General features: G+C 43.1%; 1 protein-coding gene across 9 annotated transcripts in view, besides 2 other annotated features; it reads left to right on the forward strand.

Moving 5' to 3' along the window:
* ZYG11A (zyg-11 family member A, cell cycle regulator) overlaps positions 1-20,441 on the forward strand; it is a 52,239-nt gene that overhangs the window by 10,019 nt on the left and 21,779 nt on the right. For 5 of the 9 annotated variants that reach the window (NM_001004339.3, XM_011541482.4, XM_011541480.4 and 2 more), the window contains exons 2-8: positions 1,687-1,852; positions 4,220-4,971; positions 7,953-8,093; positions 11,203-11,379; positions 13,725-13,789; positions 14,761-14,860; positions 14,949-14,999. In NM_001004339.3, coding sequence (NP_001004339.2) covers positions 1,687-1,852; positions 4,220-4,971; positions 7,953-8,093; positions 11,203-11,379; positions 13,725-13,789; positions 14,761-14,860; positions 14,949-14,999 — 1,452 coding nt within the window. Of the gene's footprint in view, positions 1-1,686; positions 1,853-4,219; positions 4,972-7,952; positions 8,094-11,202; positions 11,380-13,724; positions 13,790-14,760; positions 14,861-14,948; positions 15,000-18,376; positions 19,303-20,441 lie in introns of those variants that run through there. The other 4 variants (XM_011541487.3, XM_011541481.4, NM_001307931.2 and 1 more) reach the window with 4 other exon arrangements.
* Positions 16,410-17,294: an enhancer, noted in NCBI's record as "NANOG-H3K27ac-H3K4me1 hESC enhancer chr1:53334860-53335744 (GRCh37/hg19 assembly coordinates)". NCBI's record gives its function as "activates a minimal SCP1, AML or CMV promoter by ChIP-STARR-seq in naive H9 embryonic stem cells {active_cell/tissue: H9 hESC(naive)}" and the evidence as "EXISTENCE:reporter gene assay evidence [ECO:0000049][PMID:30033119]".
* Positions 17,295-18,177: an enhancer, noted in NCBI's record as "H3K27ac-H3K4me1 hESC enhancer chr1:53335745-53336627 (GRCh37/hg19 assembly coordinates)". NCBI's record gives its function as "activates a minimal SCP1, AML or CMV promoter by ChIP-STARR-seq in naive H9 embryonic stem cells {active_cell/tissue: H9 hESC(naive)}" and the evidence as "EXISTENCE:reporter gene assay evidence [ECO:0000049][PMID:30033119]".

The raw sequence follows: 20,441 nt of genomic DNA on the forward strand, positions 1-20,441 counted from the left end.
TCAAATATAGGTTAGTCTGGCCTACCTTAAATGTGCTCAGAACTCTTATATTAGCCTACAGTCGAGGAAAATCATCTAACACAAAGCCCATTTCATTATAGTGTTGAATATCTCGTGGAATTTATTGATACTGACAGTGAAAAACAGTGGTCATATGTGTACTCACTGTAAACATACACAGTTGAAAGCACTCTGGGCCTGAAGAATGTTTGAAGCATTGAACTAAAAGTTAATTGCTGGATTATGGAGAAGCTACATCAACAGGGTCACCAGTTGCTCTTCTAAGCATTGGAGCCCATTGACACTTGTTGATGGTTTAGCAGGCATAGTGTTCAAGAAGATATCAAGTATTGGTTGTTTACCCTTGTGATCGTGTGGCTGACTGGGAGCTGCAGCTCACTCTGCTGACCAGCATTGAAAGAGTATCATATTATGTCACTAGCCTGGGAAGAGATCAAAACTCAAAATTTGAAGTATGGTTTCTACTTTATACCGTTGTAATTCCAAAAATCATGAGTCAGGGACTATCTGTACATGCCTTTATAGCCTCACCTTACTGTCAGTTTCTTACACTTTCATAGGACCTTGACTGTATCACTGTTTGAGGTTGTGAACAGTTTTGAGAATAGACACATGATAATCAATGAATACATATTTTTTGAGTGAATGACCATGTAATCTCTGCTTGGAGTGTCCCAAATGTTGCATTGAAATTGTCAGATTTCTTGTTTGTATTCTTCACTAAACTTTAGCTTTAAAGGGACTAGAACCATGTCTTACCCACCTCTGTATTTTCAGTGGCTAGCACAGAACAGGTGATAAGTAAAGGGTTAAGAGAACTTAATATTGGGGCCGGGTGTGGTGGCTCATGCCTGTAATCCAGCACTTGGGGAAGCTGAAGTGGGAGGATCTCTTGATACCATGAGTTTCGAGACTGGCTTGGACAACAAAGTGGGACTCTATAATAAACCTACAAAAAATTAGCTGGGCATGGTGGCATGGGCTTGTAGTCCCAGTTACTCAGGAGGCTGAGTGGAAGGATCACCTGACTGGGGAAGTCAAAGTTGCATTCGGCTGTGATTGTGCCACTGCACTCCAGCCTAGGCGATAGTGAGACCCTGTTTCAAAAAAAAGAAAAAAAGAACTTAATGTTTTTCAAGATACAGTATGTTCTCTCTGACTACGGGTTCAGTATATGTGAATTCAGCCAACTTTGGATGGAAAATATTTGGGGAAAAATACCTGCATCTGTATTGAACATGTACAGACTTTTTTCTTGTCATTATGTAAACAATACAGTATAAAGGATTTATACTGTATTAGTGTTTATAAGTAATTTAGAAATGATTTGTAGTATATGAGAATGTCTGCATAGGTTATATGCAAACCTTACACCATTTTATATAAGGAGACTTGAGCATCTGTGGATACTGGTCAGAGAGTTCTGGAACCAATCTCCTACAGATTTTGAGGGACAGCTGTACAACAGAAAGGACAACAGATTAAATTTTCCATTCAGTTAACAGTAGGAATGAGGTGGTTTCGTTACATATAAATCATTACTAGAGTATGAAGGATGTATCTTCAGATACTCTCATCAAGTGGAATAGGTATGGCATGACCAGTTTTATGTTGAATTGTTGCAGATGTATTCTAACAAAGTTTGTTTGGGGTTTTGTTTGCTAGGAAGAGGCATCTCCCTACACTTTGGTCAACATCTGCCTGAATGTCCTGATTGCTAACCTGGAGAAATTGTGTTCTGAAAGACCTGATGGAACACTGTGCCTTCCGGAGCATTGGAGTTTCCCTCAGGAAGTAGCCGAGCGATTTCTCAGGGTGATGACTTGGCAAGGTAGTGATAAGGCTTCTCTAAAGTCAGCTCTTGCAGTACTTTACTATTTGAAAAGCACTTTTACACACAATTTCTATTGTGATTCTCACAAAGTATTTCCATTTCATTTGTCTGGAAGTTGAGACTCACTCTTTCTGGGATTCCATGATGGAAATTGTCTTCTAGGCTAGCCCTGCTATTGACTTGGTTTTCCACTCTTCACTTACGTAAAGTTATCACTCATCCATCTGCTCTCTAGCTTTGTTTTTTTTTTTGAGACGGATTTTCACCCTTGTCGCCAAGGCTGGAGTGTAGTGGCACAATCTTTGCTCACTGCAGCCTCCGCCTGGGTTTAAGCGATTCTCCTGCCTCAGCCTCCTGAGTAGCTGGGATTACAGGCGCCCACCACACCTGGCTGATTTTTGTATTTTTAGTAGAGATGGGGTTTCACCACTTTGGTCAGGCTGGTCTTGAACTCCTGAGTTCAGATGATCCGTCTGCCTTGGCTTCCCAAAGTGCTGGGATTACAGACATGAGCCACTGTGCCCGGCCTGCTCTCTAGCTTTTTCAAAATGCTCTTGCTGTAGTCTTGTTTACCATTCTTTTCATTATGGTTATGAGTCTTACCTCCCATTGTAGCTGGGCTTAAAGAACTCCACTAAAAAAATAAAGGAAAAAAAGGGCATTTTATTATTTATTTATTTATAACCTGGGATTACAGATGTGAGTCACCATGTCCGGTCATAATTTTTGTATTTTTAGTAGAGATGGGGTTTCACCATGTTGGCCAGGCTGGTCTCAAACTCTTGACCTCAAGTGGTCTGCCTGCCTCGGCCTCCCAAAGTGCTGGGATTACAGGCGTGAGGCACCGTGCCTGGCCCATAATCAATTTTAGAACCTCAAACTTTCCATCACCTCAGAAAGAAACCTTGTGCCCGTTAGATTTTATTTCCCTTTTCCCGCATCCCTCCAGCCCTAAGCAACCACAAGTCTACTTTCCATCTCTATGTATGGATTTGCCTATTCTGAACATTTAATATAAATTAAATCATCCAATATGTGGCCTTGTGTGCCGAACTTTTTTCATTTAGCATGTTTAAGGCTCACATTGTGCAACATGTATATCTGTACTCGTTCCTTTTTATAGTCGCATATTCTACTGTATGGACATACCACATTGTATTTATCTGTTTTTCGGTTGATGGACATTTGTGGTGTTCTCACTTTTGGGCTATTATGAATAATATGCTACCATAAAGATATGTGTACAAATTTTATTTTTAAACTTAAAAAATTTATTCTAAACTTTCTCTGCTCCATATGAATCTGCAGGAATGTGTAAGAGTTTCTATGTGGACATAAGTTTTCATTTCTCTGAGTGAAATTGCTGGATCAAATGGTAACTCATTATCTTTTTGAGGAACTGCCAGACTATTGTTTGTGGCTGTACTATTTTACATTCCCATCAGCAGTGTCCAAGGGTTCTAATTTCTCCACGTTCTCACCAAGACTCATCTGACATTTTGATTATAGCCATCCTAGTGGATGTGAAATAGTATCTGTTGTGCTTTTAATTTGCATTTCTTTAATGACTTATGGTGTTGGTATTTACCTGGTATGCCTCCCTATACTGAATTCCTTGTGGTCACAGGTGTCTGATTACCTTACGTGCCTGTTACATAACATGGAATCTCACCATAGAAGATGTGTAGTAGGCCAGGTGCAGTGCCTGTAGTCCCAGCTACTTGGGAGGCTGAGGCAAGGGAATCGCTTGAACTTGGGAAGCGGAGGTTGCAGTGAGCCCCCACTGCACTCCAGCCTGGGTGACAGAGCAAGACTCCATCTCAAAAAAAAAAAAAAAAAAAAAAATATGTGTAGTAAATGAAAAATAGGACAACCCATTCGTTTTACAGATGAGGAAAATGAGGCCCAGAGAGGTAAGTGACTTGTCAAATATTATCTACTAATTTGGTTAAAAATAATATTAGTAGTGCTACTTGTATATTGTATATCCTGTACTTATCTACCTATTTTATTTTGTTCTTCCTTTCTGTGAGCAAGGTTACTGTAGATAAAATTTTGGGCTCTACAGCCAAACTGGGGTTGACTCCTGATTCTGATGGTGACCTTGGATAAATTACTTAACCTATTCAAGTTTCAGTTTCCTCAGCTACATAGTAGTAGTAACAATAATTCCTTTATAGTATTAATGCAAAGAATACATGAGATAATAATCTTATTAAAGGAGTTTAGAACAATGCTAGCACAGAGCAGTAAATGTTGTCATTATTGTTATTATTAACATCTGTCTTAATTCTTTGCCACATTTTATCCTGGAAAGACATGAGATCTAGTTGTCATTACAAGTTGGTTCTGGTTCTTTCATAGGCAAGCTGACTGACAGAACAGCCAGCATTTTCCGAGGCAACCAAATGAAACTGAAGCTGGTCAATATCCAAAAAGCTAAAATCTCTACAGCTGCATTCATAAAAGCCTTCTGCCGTCATAAGCTCATTGAACTGAATGCTACTGCAGTGCACGCTGACCTCCCAGTTCCAGACATCATAAGTGGACTCTGCAGCAATAGGTGGATCCAGCAAAACCTCCAGTGTCTCCTGTTAGACTCGACAAGCATCCCTCAAAATTCAAGATTACTGTTCTTTAGTCAGCTCACTGGTCTTCGCATTTTAAGTGTTTTTAATGTTTGTTTTCATACTGAAGACCTGGCTAATGTTTCTCAGTTACCAAGACTGGAAAGCTTAGATATCTCTAATACTCTAGTCACTGATATTTCTGCACTGCTTACCTGTAAGGATCGATTGAAGTCTCTCACAATGCACTATCTGAAATGCCTGGCCATGACCAAATCACAAATTCTTGCAGTCATTAGAGAACTTAAATGTCTGCTTCACCTTGATATTTCTGATCACAGGCAACTCAAATCAGACCTAGCTTTTCATTTGCTACAGCAGAAGGATATCCTGCCCAATGTTGTGTCATTGGATATTTCTGGGGGCAATTGCATCACTGATGAAGCTGTAGAACTGTTTATACGACTGCGGCCTGCCATGCAATTTGTGGGACTATTGGCCACGGATGCTGGCTCTTCTGACTTCTTTACTACAAAGCAAGGCTTGAGGGTTTGTTCTTATCTGAATAAGTTTTGTTTCATTTGTTTAGAACATTATTAAACTCGTGCTATAGACCAGACTTTTTACTAGGTATTAGGGTTACAGAGACAGATAAAAAAATCCTTAAAGAGCTTTTTTAATAATTAATGATTATTATGTACCTACTATGTGGAAGGTTGTGAGAATATTATTATTATTTTTTGAGATGGAGTAGTTTTGTATTTTTAATAGAGATTGGGTTTCTTCATGTTGGTCAGGCTGGTCTCGAACGCCTGACCTCAGGTGATCTGCTTGCCTCGGCTTCCCAAAGTGCTGGGATCATAGGCATGAGCCACTGTGCCTGGCCACACGTGAGAATATAATATTAAGATACAGGCTGGGCATGGTGGCTCACACCTGTAATCCCAGCACTTTGGGAGGCCAAGGCGGGCAGATCACTTGAGGTCAGGAGTCCGAGACCAGCCTGGCCAACATGGTGAAACCTGGTCTCTACTAAAAATACAAAAATTAGCCGGTGTGTTGGCGGGCGCCTGTAGTCCCAGCTACTTGGGAGGCTGAGGCAGGAGAATCACTTGAACCTGGGAGGTGGAGGTTGCACCACTGCACTCCAGCCTGGCCAAAAGCGAAACGCAGTCTCAAAAAAAAAAGAAGATATAGTGGGTTCAAGTGATTCTCCTGCCTCGGCTTCCCGAGTAGCTGGGACTACAGGCACGTGCCACCATGCCCAGCTAGTTTTTTATTTTTAGTAGAGACGGGGTTTCACCATGTTGGCCGGGCTGGTCTCGAACTCCTAACCTCAGGTGATCCGCCTGCCTCGGCCTCCCAAAGTGCTGGGATTATAGGCATGAACCACTGCGCCCGGCCCGATTATTATTATTATTTTTTTTTGGAGACTGAGTTGTGCTCTTGTTGCCCAGGGTGGAGTGCAATGGCGCAATCTCGGCTCACTGCAACCTTCGCCTCCCGGGTTCAAGCGATTCTCCTGCCTCAGCTTCCCGAATAGCTGGGATTACAGGTGTGCACCACCACACCTGGCTAATTTTTTGTATTTTTAGTAGAGGCAGAGTTTCACTATGTTGGTCAGGCTGGTCTCGAACTCCCAGACCTCAGGTGATCCACCTGCCTTGGGCTCCCAAAGTGCTGGGATTACAGGCATGAGCCACCATGCTTGGCCCAGAGCTGTTGTTTTAAAGTAACTCTTTCTTTATAATAATACCTCCTTAGTTCTTCCTAGGGGAAGAGAATAAAGTGATTTGTATACTCATTAGTTGTGTTAACATTTTATTCTTTTGATTTGAAGTTAGCAATTGTTGTATTTTAATTAATTAATTAATTAATTTTTTATTGAGACAGAGTCACTCTGTTGTTCAGGATGGAGTGCAGTGGCACAATCTTGGCTCACTGCAACCTCTGCTGTGAGCTGAGATCCCCAAATTTTTTTTGGGACAGTCGAGTCCTGCTCTGTCGCCCAGGCTGGAGTGCAGTGGTCCGATCTTGGCTCACCACCAAGGATTATCTCTTCCCCCCTTGGATAAACTTGGCATCTTTGTTGAAAATCGGGTGTCCGTATATGTGTGAGTCTGTTACTGGGCTCTTTATTTTTTATTTTTTTTGAGACGGAGTCTTGCTCTGTCGCCCAGGCTGGAGTGCAGTGACACGATCTCTGCTCACTGCAATCTCCGCCTCCCGGGTTCACGCCATTCTCCTGCCTCAGGCTCCAGAGTAGCTGGGACTATAGGCACCCACCACCACGCCTGGCTAATTTTTTGTATTTTTAGTAGAGATGGTGTTTCACCGTGTTAGCCAGGATAGTCTCGATCTCCTGACCTCGTGATCTGCCTGCCTCATCCTTCCAAAGTGCTAGGATTACAGGTGTGAGCCACCACGCCCAGCTGGGCTCTTTATTTTTATCTGTTTGTGTATTGCCTTTTTTTTTTTTTTTTTTTTTTTTTTTTGAGACAGAGTCTCGGTCTGTCACCCAGGCTGGAGTGCAGTGGTGTGATCTCGGCTCACTGCAACCTCTGCCTCCCGGGTTCAAGTGATTCTCCTGGCTCAGCCTCCCTAGTAGCTGGGACTATAGGCGTGCACCACCACGCCCATCTAATTTTTGTACTTTTAGTAGAGATGAGGATTTACCATGTTGGCCAGGCTGGTCTTGAACTCCTGACCTCAGGTGATCTGCCCACTTTGGCCTCCCAAAGTATTGGGATTACAGGCCTGAGCCATTGTGCCCCGGCCTACTGTCTTGATTACTATAACTTTATATGAAGTCTTGAAATTGGGTAATGTGACTTCTTCAACTGTTATTCTGTTTCATAATTGTTTTGGTTATTCTAGGTTCTTTGTATTTCCATATAAATCATAAAAGCAACTTGTCAATATCTACAAAAAGGACTACTGGTATTTTAGTTGGGATTGCATTAAATCTGTAGGTCAGTTTGAGGAAAATTGCCGTTTAATAACGTTGAGTCTCATGTTGTTTTAAAAAATAGAGGCGAGGTCTCACTATGTTGTCCAGGCTGGTCTCGTAGTCCTGGGCTCAAGCAACCCTTGAGCCTCAGACTCCCAAAGTGTTGGGATTACAGGCATTAGCCACCACGCCTGGCGCTAGTCTCCTGATTCTTGAATCCTGTATATCTCTGCATTTATTTAGATCTTTACTTTCTCTCAGCATATTTTGTCATGTAGCTGGGACTACAGGCGCCTGCCACCACGCCTGGCTAATTTTTGTAATTTTAGTAGAGATGGGGTTTCACCATATTGTTCAGGCTGGTCTCTACTCCTGACCTCGGGTGATTCACCTGCCTCAGCCTCACAAAGTGCTGGGATTACAGGCGTGAGCCACTGCGCCTGGCCAACACCTGGAACATTTAATTGAACATTTGTTGTTATTGTCTTAAACACTGGATGCCCCAAAAACCCTGTGGTTAAAAATGAATGGTGAAAAAATATGAATGGTGAAACCTGTTTGGTAACATCTTTATTTTCAGGTTGCTGGAGGAGCCAGTATGAGTCAGATTTCAGAAGCACTGAGCCGATACAGGAACAGATCATGTTTTGTGAAGGAAGCCCTCCACAGGCTGTTCACAGAGACATTTTCAATGGAGGTAACCATGCCTGCTATTTTAAAGGTAATTGAAGGAAGACAATTTTTACTATTACTTCTTAACTTGGTTCAATTAATAATTGTTCACGAACCACACTGAATATAATAAATTATATGCTTTATTCTATAGTGAGTCAAGTGCTCTCATAGAGCAAAGAATGTTAAGCTTAGCTGCCAAAGTGTCTTTTGCTTTGAGCATCTGGATTTATGTGGAATAAATTAGAATCAAAACAGTTAAAATTTGGTCTAAGTAAGGGAATAATAGGATCATGTGGCTTTCTGAAAGAAAACAAGTGCAGAACAAAATAAAAATAATTAAGGGTGGCCAAATCTACCACTTGAAGTATTTTGTGAATGACATAAAGTTGCTTTTATCGATATAGCCAAACTTAGCTTTGGTTTAGGGAAGGATGCGTTTTATTGTAAATGTAATTACAAGTATTAAGAGGCTTGGGAAAGAAAACTTCAGTTATTTATTTTTCTTTTATACATGTGTTTATTTGAAAATTGTTGTTTTTAGTGAAACATAACAATGAAAGGTCTTAAGAAAAACCTTGTCTTTATTTGTAATTTTTTGCAATTCCTTAAAAATGTGGATATTTTCCCAGCACTTTGGGAGGCCGAAGCGGGTGGATCACGAGGTCAAGAGATTGAGACCATCCTGGCCAACATGGTGAAACCCCGTCTCCACTAAAAACAATACAAAAATTTGGTGGGCGTGGTGGCGCACTCCTATAGTCCCAGCTACTTGGGAGACTGAGGCAGGAGAATCGCTGGAACTCGGGAGGTGGAGGTTGCAGTGAGCCGAGATTGTGCCATTGCACTCCCTCCTGGTGACAGAGCGAGACTCAAAAAAAAATATTTTTACAGCATGGGAGATTAACTTTATTTACAGCTCAAAAGCTGTATAAAGAAAAACTCTGGGTCAGCTGTGGTGGCTCATGCCTGTAATCCCACCACTTTGGTTGGGAGGCCGAGATGGGAGGATTTCCTGGGGCCAGGAGTTCAAGACTAGCCTGATCAACATTAGTAAGACCCTGTCTCTACAAAAATTTAGAAAAAGAAAAAAAATTAGCTTCTGGCTGGGCACCATGGCTCACGCCTGTAATCCCAGCACTTTTTGGGAGGCTGAGGTGGACAGATCACCTGAGGTCAGGAATTTGAACAGCCTGGCCAACATGGTAGAACCCCGTCTCTACTAAAAATACAAAAATTAGCCAGGCGTGGTGGCAGGTGCCTGTAATCCCAGCTACTCAGGAGGCTGAGGCAGGAGAATCACTTGAACCTGGGAGGTGGAGGTTGCAGTGAGCCGAGATGATACCACTGCACTCCAGCCTGGGCGACAGAGCAAGACTCTGTCTCAAAAAACAAAAAAAAAGTTAGGTGGGCATGGTTGTACATGCCTATAGTCCCAGCTACTTGGGTGACTGAGATTGGAGGACTACGTGAGCCCAGGATTTTTTTTTGGTTTTTTTTTTTTTTTGAGACGGCGTCTCGCTCTGTCGCCTAGGCTGGAGTGCGGTGGCTTGATCTCCGCTCACTGCAGGCTCCACCTCCCGGGTTCACACCATTCTCCTGCCTCAGCCTCCCAAGTAGCTGGGACTACAGGCGCCCGTCACCACGCCCAGCTACTTTTTTGTATTTTTTAGTAGAGATGGGGTTTCACCGTGTTAGCCAGGATGGTCTCGATTTCCTGACCTCGTGATCCGCCCGCATTGGCCTCCCAAAGTGCTGGGATTACAGGCGTGAGCCACTGCGCCCGGCAAGCCCAGGAGTTTGAGGCTGCTACAGTAAGCTATGATGGTGCCACTATACTCCAGCCTGGGTAACAGAGCGAGATCCCAACTCAAAAAAATAAAATAAATTAAAAATTCTCGACCTTTTTTTCCATCTGTAAGGAAGAGATTGAATTAGATGTTCTTCTGTTTTTGTTTGTTTTTGTTGTTCTTTGAGACAGGGTCTCACTCTGTTGCCCAGGCTGGAGTGCAGTGGCATGATATGATCTCAGCCAACTGCAGCCTTGACCTCCTGGGCTCAAGTGATCCTCCTGCCTCAGCCTCCTGAGTAGCTGGAACTATAGGCATGCCCCACCATGCCTGGCTGTTTTTTTTGTTTTTTCTGTAAAGATGAGGTCTTACTGTGTTGCCTAGGCTGAATTTAGATGTTCTAAATTTCTTTTCATACCAGGATTGTGTAGTTTTTGTGAAAATCACATTTCTTTTGGTTTCTGGATTTCTAAATTGCAGATGATGGCAATCTAATGAAACTGAAAAATCAATTTAGCAATATACAAAAAAAAAGTCATTTTCCATAGCAGAAGTATATCCCAGGTCTGTCTCTAGTAGAGGAAACAGATCACAGTGTCCTTGAATGACAGAGCAGGTGGGGTCTAAGCTTGGAACAATGCCCTCATTTTACATTTGTGTTCTAGGTCTTCCACAGTGTAGCTTCAAGTTACCTAATGTTTTGTTTTACCATTTTTCAAATTCTTCTCCTCTGTTGGTGGATTTATCCCATCCTTTTTTTCCACTTTCTGTTTTTCTTTATCACTTTCTTTCCCCTAGGAATACCCTGTCCATTCTGCCCCTACATTTATCTCCTCCTGTGTAAATCCTGAGACTCTGCCTAAATGTGCTCTCTCAATGAGTTCTTCTGATTCTCTCCCAGAAATGGCCACTCTTTCCATAACTACCTCAGATGTCACTTCATTGATGCGTCTTTTATGGTGCTTTTCTTCAATTTTATTTTTTGGCATTTCTCACAGTGTTATTACTGTCACAAGGCTTTATGCTAACGAGTAGCTCTCACTCATGTTTGTGTCCCCTGCAGTACCTGTCACAGTAGCTTGTATGGAGTGAGGCTCAATAAATGATTCTGAAGTTAATTTCACAGATAAAGAAATAGAGGTCTAGAGAAAGGAAGTGACTTGGCCAAAGTCACACAGATAGTTAGTGACTCCATTTGGATTAGAAGGCTTTGCTGTAATACTTTGATGTTCTAAAGAATAAATGCTTAGGATAGGGAAAATCTGTTCCTGTCCCAATAAACGAAGATTTGTGCCAATCAAAACATGCACAAGACAGCATAGAGAATGTTACTGGCATCATATGCACTAAAAACAAGTTCATCTTCAGCTTGTGGCTATAGGAATGAGGAATCACCCATTGGATTTGCGAGTGCAGTTCACAGCCAGTGCTTGCGCTCTCAACCTAACACGCCAGGGCCTGGCCAAGGGGATGCCTGTTCGCCTGTTGTCAGAGGTCACCTGTCTACTTTTCAAGGCTCTGAAAAATTTCCCCCATTACCAGCAGGTAATTTCAATTGAATATTTGTTTGTGCTTTTTTTGTTGTTGTTAATAGTCTCAGCTCTGTTGCCCAGGCCAGAGTGCCGTGGCACAATTTGTTTTTGTTTTTTTAAAGACAGAGTCTCTCTCTGTCGCCCAGGCTGGAGTGCGGTGGCACGATCTCAGCTCACTGTAACCTCTGCCTCCCGGGTTCAAGCAATTCTCCTGCTTCAGCCTCCTGAGTAGCTGGGATTACAGGCGTGCACCACGACGCCCAGCTAATTTTTGTATTTTTAGTAGAGACGGGGTTTCACCATGTTGGTCAGGCTGGTCTCGAACTCCTGGCCTCATGAGCCATGGCATACGGCAGACAATTTGTGTTTTCTAACTTTAGGATAAATATGTGAAAAATAGATATTATTTAGTTCTGGTTTTTCATCCTATTAGAGAAAGAGAATAGATAAAAGAGTGTGTTTGTTATAGAAAAAATAGGAAATATAGATAAGCAGTGAGGCTAAAATTTTCTTTTTTTTGAGAGATTTTCCTTCTTGTTGCCCAGGGTGGAGTGCAGTGGTATGATCTCGGCTCACCGCAACCTCCGCCTCCTGGGTTCGTGCCATTCTCCTACCTCAGCCTCCCGAGTATCTTAGACTACAGGCGCTCGCCACCATGCCTGGCTAATTTTTTTTTTTTTTGTATTTTTAGTAGAGATGGGTTTCACCGTGTTAGCCAGGATGGTCTCGATCTCCTGACCTCATGATCTGCCCACCTTGGTGTCCCAAAATTCTGGGATTACAGACGTGAGCCCCCGCGCCTGGCCTACACTCATTTTTATTTTTATTATTTTTTTTGAGACGGAGTCATTCTGTTGCCGAGGCTAGAGTGCAGTAGCACGATCTTGGCTCACTGCAACCTCTGCCTCCTGCCTCAGCCTCCTGAGTAGCTGGGATTACAGGCGCATGCCACCATGCCTGGTTGATTTTGTATTTTTAGTATAGATGTGGTTTCACCATGTTGGCCAGGGTGGTCTCGAACTCCTGAACTCAGGTGATCCACTGCCTTGGCCTCCCAAAGTGCTGGGATTACAGGAGGGAGCCACCATGCCTGGCTCCCTCCCCCACAACACACATTTTTAAAATGAAAAGGTAGATGATAGACTGGGAAACATGTTCATTATATATATATGAGAATCAACTTCATTCAGAGTATATAAAGAACTCAACTTGTTAATACAGTACAAATCAGTTATAAAAATGATCAAAAGATTTGAACACTTTGGTAGTTTCTTTAGGAATTAAATATACACTTCATAAACTACCTAGTCATTCCACTCCTAGGTATTTACTGAAGATAAATGAAAGCATGTATCCATATAAAGATATTTACACAAATATTCATGGTACCTTTATTTATTGCCAAAAACTTGAAACATCCCAAATGTCCAACAACAGGCGAATAGAAGCATTGTAATAAATCTATTTAGGGAAACACTACTTGGCACACAGAGATGAAGTACTGATATCTGCAGTGTAGATGAAACTCAAAAATGTTATATGTTGAGCAAAACAGGCCAAACTCAAAAGAGCAGAAGTACATGATTCCATTTGCATAACACCTTAAAAAAACTAATCTATAATGACTGTAATTTTCCGAGGATAGGGTTTACAGGGTTGAGACTAACTTGAAGAGGGGACAATGGAACTCTCTGGGGGTGATAGAAGTATTATATCTTGATTGTAGGAGTGGTTACACAGGGGTATAAATTTGTGAAATCTAATACAAATGTGTACTTTGTAAAGGGAGTTTTTTTTTTTTTTTTTTTTTTGAGATGGAGTCTCGCTCTGTCGCCCAGGCTGGAGTGCAGTGGCACAATCTTGGCTCACTGCAAGCTCCGCCTCCCGGGTTCATGCCATTCTCCTGCCTCAGCCTCCCGAGTAGCTGGGACTACAGGCACCCACCACCACGCCCGGCTAATTTTTTGTATTTTTAGTAGAGACGGGGTTTCACTGTGCTAGCCAGGTTGGTCTCGATCTCCTGACCTCGTGATCCGCCTGCCTCTGCCTCCCAAAGTGCTGGGATTACAGGCATGAGCCACCGCACCCGGCCAAGGGAGTTGATTTTTTAAAAATACAGTTAGGAAGGTGGTTTTCCTCATTTATTTCTACCTTATTTTTAAAGTTGGAAAATCCTACTCAAGTCTTCATTCCTGCATGGCAGTCATCAGTTACAGCATTAAATGAAAATTTAATGCTGGTACACAAATGAGCTCTCAATAAGAAAAGCTCACTAGTAATACTTCCAAATACATGGAATCTTTGTTTAGAATGGAATGTTACATTTGTTCAAAATTATTTTTCTTTATTCTCTAAAAGTTACAGAAGAATTGTCTTCTCTCCTTAACCAATTCCAGGATTCTTGTGGATGTTCCATTTGACAGGCAAGTATAAGACTTGGTCATTTGACTGGGGTGTTGGCCTTTGGTTATTAAATGCAGAGGCCTGATTAAGGCTGGGATAAGGTGTTTGGAGAGAAGGTTCTGTTGAGCATCTTCCACAGAGAAGTGATTAGAAGTACCCTACTAGAAAATGTTGTCTCCTAAAGTGATTCTAGTATAGGATAGTGGGTAAGAACAGGCTCCGAGAGCCAAACATACTTGGACTCAAGATCTAGCCCTTCCATTATCTTTGCTTATTATAAGTTTCCTCATTTGTAAAATAGTGACTCTTACCAGCATTAGATAAGATAGTGTCTGTAAAGTACTTAATTCCTAGTTTAAGTACAGGCTATTATAAAGAATATTAGTAATTTATTCATTTTGTTATGTAATTATTATTTTATTAGTAATTTACTTTTTAATTATTTAGAAAATCATCATCATCCTAGCCATTCCAGAAGGATTTGAGGCCTTTGCAGTCTCTCAGATTCACAAGTTTTAAAACATTTATAATAGTTGACATAAAAGAGCAGAGAAATGAGGCACAAGCTAACAAGAGCAAAGCCCCTGATTTGTGAATACAAGGTTTAGGCTCAGTCACTTTGTAACTGAGTGATGTTTGCTGCAGCATTTTAGCATTGTCTACTACTCAGATTACAAATTGCTACCACTCTGGAAACTCCCTTTCTTTTTCAGACCTATCATAGTAGAAACTGAATGATAAATACATTTTTTCTTAGATTTGCTCATCTTTATGTAAATTCTGTGTATTTTGCTTACGTTCTTATTTGCATACTCTCCTATCCCCTGCCTGGTCTTCTCTCTGCCAAATGCTCTTGGTTTTCATAGCTGAGGATTTAAAAGTCCAAGACTGTTTTCATTATAGGATTACTTGGGGAATGCCAAATGATTTCTTCTGTGTAGTTTCACAAACTTTATATATAATTGTGAGAAAAATAAATACTGCTTTTCAGGTTTGATGCTGCCAAGTTTGTCATGAGATGGCTCTGTAAGCATGAAAACCCCAAGATGCAAACAATGGCAGTGAGTGTCACCTCTATTCTGGCTCTGCAGGTTTGTGATTTCTTAAAGGCAAGATGTCTATCTCTCTAGTTTTTATACAGGTTCCATAGTTCACTTGAGCCTTTCTGTTTGCTTATAGCTCTCACCTGAGCAAACGGCACAGCTTGAAGAGCTTTTCATGGCAGTTAAGGTAGGTTCCTTGTCATGTTCATAACCTTTTTTTAAAAAAAGTCAAATTTATGATTATAGCTTAAAAAAAAAATCAAATCATTCCAAAAGGCCTATTAAGGTGAGAAATCTGTAAGACTTTCTCCCCAGAAGAAACTTTCTAATTTTGTAGCTATTTCTTTTGGTATGTACCTCCACATTTCTTTTTTTTTTTTTTTTTTTTTTTTTTGAGACAGAGTCTCACTCTGTCGCCCAGGCTGGAGTGCAGTGGCGCGATCTCGGCTCACTGCAACCTCCGCCTCCTGGGTTCACGCGATCCCCTGCCTCAGCCTTCTGAGTAGCTGGGATTATAGGCGGGTGTCACCACACCTGGCTAATTTTTGTATTTTTAGTAGAGACGGGGTTTCACCATGTTGGCCAGGCTGGTCTCGAACTCCTGACCTCGTGATCTGCGTGCCTCGGCATCCCAAAGTGCAGGGATTACAGGCGTGAGCCACCATGCCTGGCCATACCTCCACATTTCTAAATAAAATGCATATACTGTAGTTTCTTGATTGAGCAGTTTTAGGTGTTACTGATTTTGCTGCTACAGTAGATAAGAACTTAGCTCTCCTACGTATCTTTCTACAAATTACTTCCTCCTCTGGTCCCCAACAAATTTATATCATGATTTTAAATAAATCATTAATCAGTATTTATGTTATGATTGTGTTAACATCGTTCACTAAAAAATTTATATCACTGGGCCGGGTGCTGTGGCTCACGCCTGTAATCCCAGTACTTTGGGAGGCTGAGGCGGGTGGATCACGAGGTCAGGAGATTGAGACCATCTTGGACAACGTGGTGAAACCCCGTCTCTACTAAAAATACAAAAATATGAAAATTAGCTGGGTGTGGTGGTGCGTCCTGTAATCCCAGCTACTTGGGAGGCTGAGGCACGAGGATTGTTTGAGCCCAGGAGGTGGAGGTTGCAGTGAGCTAAGATCGCACAGGTGCACTCCAGCCTGGTGACAGAGTAAAATTGTGTCTCAAAAAACAACAAAACAAAAAACAACATTGTTTTATTCTGTACTTATTTTTTTATTTTCATTTTATTATATGAATTTTTTTTTTCTCGTTGCTCATGCTAGCGTGCAATGGTGCAATCTCGGCTCACTGTAATCTCTGCTTCCTGGGTTCAAGCGGTTATCCTGCCTCAGCCTCACAAAAAGCTGGGATTACAGGCATGTGCCACCACGCCTGGCTAGTTTTGTATTTTTAGTAGAGACAGAGTTTCACTATGTTGGTCAGGCTGGTCTCCTGACCTTGTGATCCACCTGCCTTGGCCTCCCAAAGTGCTGGGATTACAGGAGTGAGCCACCACACCCAGCTGAGTCATTTATATTTTTTGTAAACTGTCTATTCATAGCCTTTATAAGTTTTCTTTTGGGTTACTGACTTTTTTCTACTTTATAGGATTTTTTTTTTTTTTTTTTTTAGCTTTAGTGATGTTCTTTTTTTTTTTCTTTATTGATCATTCTTGGGTGTTTCTCGCAGAGGGGGATTTGGCAGGGTCATAGGACAATAGTGGAGGGAAGGTCAGCAGATAAACAAGTGAACAAAGGTCTCTGGTTTTCCTAGGCAGAGGACCCTGCGGCCTTCCGCAGTGTTTGTGTCCCTGGGTACTTGAGATTAGGGAGTGGTGATGACTCTTAACGAGCCTGCTGCCTTCAAGCTTCTGTTTAGCAAAGCACATCTTGCACCGCCCTTAATCCATTTAACCCTGAGTGGACACAGCACATGTTTCAGAGAGCACAGGGTTGGGGGTAAGGTCATAGATCAACAGGATCCCAAGGCAGAAGGATTTTTCTTAGTACAGAACAAAATGAAAAGTCTCCCATGTCTACCTCTTTCTACACAGACACAGCAACCATCCGATTTCTCAATCTTTTCCCCACCTTTCCTCCTTTTCTATTCCACAAAACCGCCATTGTCATCATGGCCCGTTCTCAATGAGCTGTTGGGTACACCTCCCAGACGGGGTGGTGGCTGGGCAGAGGGGCTCCTCACTTCCCAGTAGGGGCGGCCGGGCAGAGGCGCCCCTCACCTCCCGGACGGGACGGCTGACCCCCCCACACCTCCCTCCCGGACGGGGCGGCTGGCCGGGCAGGGGGCTGACCCCCCCCACACCTCCCTCCCAGACAGGGTGGCTGGCCGGGCGGGGGGCTGACCCCCCCCCACCCCCCTCCCGGGCGGGGCGGCTGCCGGGTGGAGGGGCTCCTCACTTCTCAGACGGGGCGGCCAGGCAGAGACGCTCCTCACCTCCCAGACGGGGTCGCGGCCGGGCAGAGGCGCTCCTCACATCCCAGACGGGGCGGCGGGGCAGAGGCTCTCCCCACATCTCAGACGATGGGCAGCCGGGCAGAGACGCTCTTCACTTCCTAGATGGGATGGCGGCCGGGAAGAGACGCTCGTCACTTCCTAGATGGGATGGCGGCCGGGCAGAGACGCTCCTCACTTTCCAGACTGGGCAGCCAGGCAGAGGGGCTCCTCACATCCCAGACAATGGGCGGCCAGGCAGAGACGCTTCTCACTTCCTAGACAGGATGGTGGCCGGGCAGAGACGCTCCTCACTTTCCAGACTGGGCAGCCAGGCAGAGGGGCTCCTCACATCCCAGACGATGGGCGGCCAGGCAGAGACGCCCCTCACTTCCCAGACAGGGCGGCGGCCGGGCAGAGGCTGCAATCTCGGCACTTTGGGAGGCCAAGGCACGCGGCTGGGAGGTGGAGGTTGTAGTGAGCCGAGATCACGCCACTGCACCCCAGCCTGGGCACCATTGAGCGCTGAGTGAACGAGACTCCATCTGCCATCCCGGCACCTTGGGAGGCCGAGGCTGGCGGATCACTCGCGGTTAGGAGCTGGAGACCAGCCCGGCCAACACAGTGAAACCCCGTCTCCACCAAAAAAATACGAAAAACAGTCAGGCGTGACGGCGCGCGCCTGCAGTCGCAGGCACTCGGCAGGCTGAGGCAGGAGAGTCAGGCAGGGAGGCTGCAGTGAGCTGAGATGGCAGCAGTACAGTCCAGCTTTGGCTCGGCATCAGAGGGAGACAGTAGAAAGAGAGGGAGAGGGAGACCGTGGGGAGGGGGAGGGGGAGAGGGAGAGGGAGAGGGGATTTTTTTATACATTAAGGAAACAAGCCTTTGACTATGATATTGGGTGCATGTATTTTCTCCCATTTTACTGTTTATCTATTTTTAATTCATTTATGGCATGGTTTATGATGCAATAATTTTTTATTTTCACGTAGTTGAATTCATTCTGTTTTACTATGCATCTGGGATCGATGGCACACCTGCAAAGTATTTCCCTCCATCATGAAGTATTTTTAAAAAATTCTTTGTTTTGTTTTGTTTAAGAGACTTGATCTCATCCTGTGCTGAAGCTGGTGTGTAGTGGCAAGTGGCATGATCATGGTTCATTGCAGCTTCATCTTCCTGGGCTCAAGCGACCCTCTTGAGTAGCTATGTTTGTAGCCACCACATTCAGCCTCCTCACGTTTTTAATCCTGTGATTTCTGTTCTTTTTTTTCTTTGGAATTTTTTTGAGATGTTGGGTCGTTCAAGTTTTCTTCTCTGTGTGTTTCTACTTGTCTTTGCACTGTTTATGCTACCTTTATCATATTAAATTCCCGTGTATATATCTATTTTTGGACTTTATTCTGTTCCATTAATTTGCATGTCTGTCTACTCACTAACTTTTATCTTTTTTTTTTTTTTGAGACAGAGTCCCACTCTGTCACCAGGCTGGAAGTGCACTGGCGCCATCTCGGCTCACTGCAACCTCTGTCTCCCGGGTTCAAGCGTTTCTCCTGCCTCAGTCTCCTGAGTAGCTAACCACACCAGGATAATTTTTGTATTTTTAGTAGAGACGGGGTTTTACCATTTTGTTCAGCCTGGTCACTAACTTTATCAATACTTAAATATTTAAGATCTGTCCTCGGATTTCTTTTAGTTATCCTTATCTATTTGTTGTTTCTGTGCAGACACCAGAATTGGCTTGCCTGTTTCTGAGGAAAAAAACCCATTTTCTTTGGGATTGTATTATAGATTGATGTAGGAAAATTGACGTCCTGTAATTTCCCCTATCTTGGAACAAGAGTATGTTTATTCAAGTCTTTCATGTCCTCCAGAAGTATGTTCAAGTGTTTGTCATTTGCATTGCTGTTACGGGTGGAATCTTATGCTTATGAGTATTTAATATCAAGTATTAGGTTTATTTTGTCTTGTTAACTTGTATGTCTGTTTACAATAGAGATGAAATCAAGAATAAAAATCAAGAGTGATTTTGGATGTGTTCATTACTGAGATGCTTGAGATGTCAAGAAGGCAGTTTGAATTTTTTTTTGAGACAGAGTCTGCAATGGCTCAATCTCGGCTCACTGCAACCTCCACCTCCTGAGTTCAAGCCATTCTCCTGCCTCAGCCTCCCAAGTAACTGGGATTACAGGTGTATGCTACCATGCCCAGCTAATTTTTTTGTATCTTTAGTATAGATGAGGTTTCGCCATGTTGGCCAGTCTGGTCTCGAACTCCTGACCTCAGGTAATCCACCCTCCTTGGTCTCCCAAAGTGCTGGGATTATAGGTGTGAGCCACCACACCAGGCAAGATTTCTTTCAAAATGTTACTGCTCATTGATAATACACCAGCCACCCAAGAGTTCTGATGGAGATGTACAAGCAAGGAAGTTAATATTTTCCTGCTTGTTATACGATATCCATTCTGCAGCCCATAGATCAGGGAGTAATTTATTAATTTATTATTTATTAATTATATTATTTATTATTTAAGAAACATTTTGTGGCCAGGTGTGGTGGCTCACGCCTGCAATCCCAGCATTTTGGGAGGCCAAGGCAGGCAGATCATTTGCGGTCAAGAGTTTCAGACTAGCCTGGCCAACATGGTGAAACCCCGTCTCTATTAAAAATACAAAAAAATTAGCCCGGCATGGTGGCAAATGCCTGTAATCCTAGACACTTAGGAGGCTGAGGTGGGAGGATCGCTTGAACCTGGGAAGTGGAGGTTGCAGTGAGCCGAGATCAAGCCACTGTACTTCAGCATGGATGACAGAGTGAGACTCTGTCTCAAAAAAAAAAAAAAAAAGAAAAGAAAAGAAAGAAAGAAAAAAGAAATATTTTATAAGGCTAGAGCTGCCATAGGTAGGAATTCCCCTGATGAATCTGGACAAAGTAAACTGAAAACCTTTTAGAAAGGATTCACCATTCTAGATACCATTAAGAAAACACACAGCGGTGGCTCATGTCTGTAATCCTAGCACTTTGGGAGGCCAAGGCGAGCAGATTACTTGAGGCCAGGAATTTGAGACCAGCCTGGGCAACGTGGCGAAATCCTGTCTCTACAAAATATTAGCCAGGCATGGTGGCATGCATTTGTACTCTCAGCTACTCAGGAGGCTGAGATGG

Source organism: Homo sapiens, chromosome 1 (assembly GCF_000001405.40).
Source record: "Homo sapiens chromosome 1, GRCh38.p14 Primary Assembly".
Classification (NCBI taxonomy): Eukaryota; Metazoa; Chordata; class Mammalia; order Primates; family Hominidae; genus Homo; species Homo sapiens.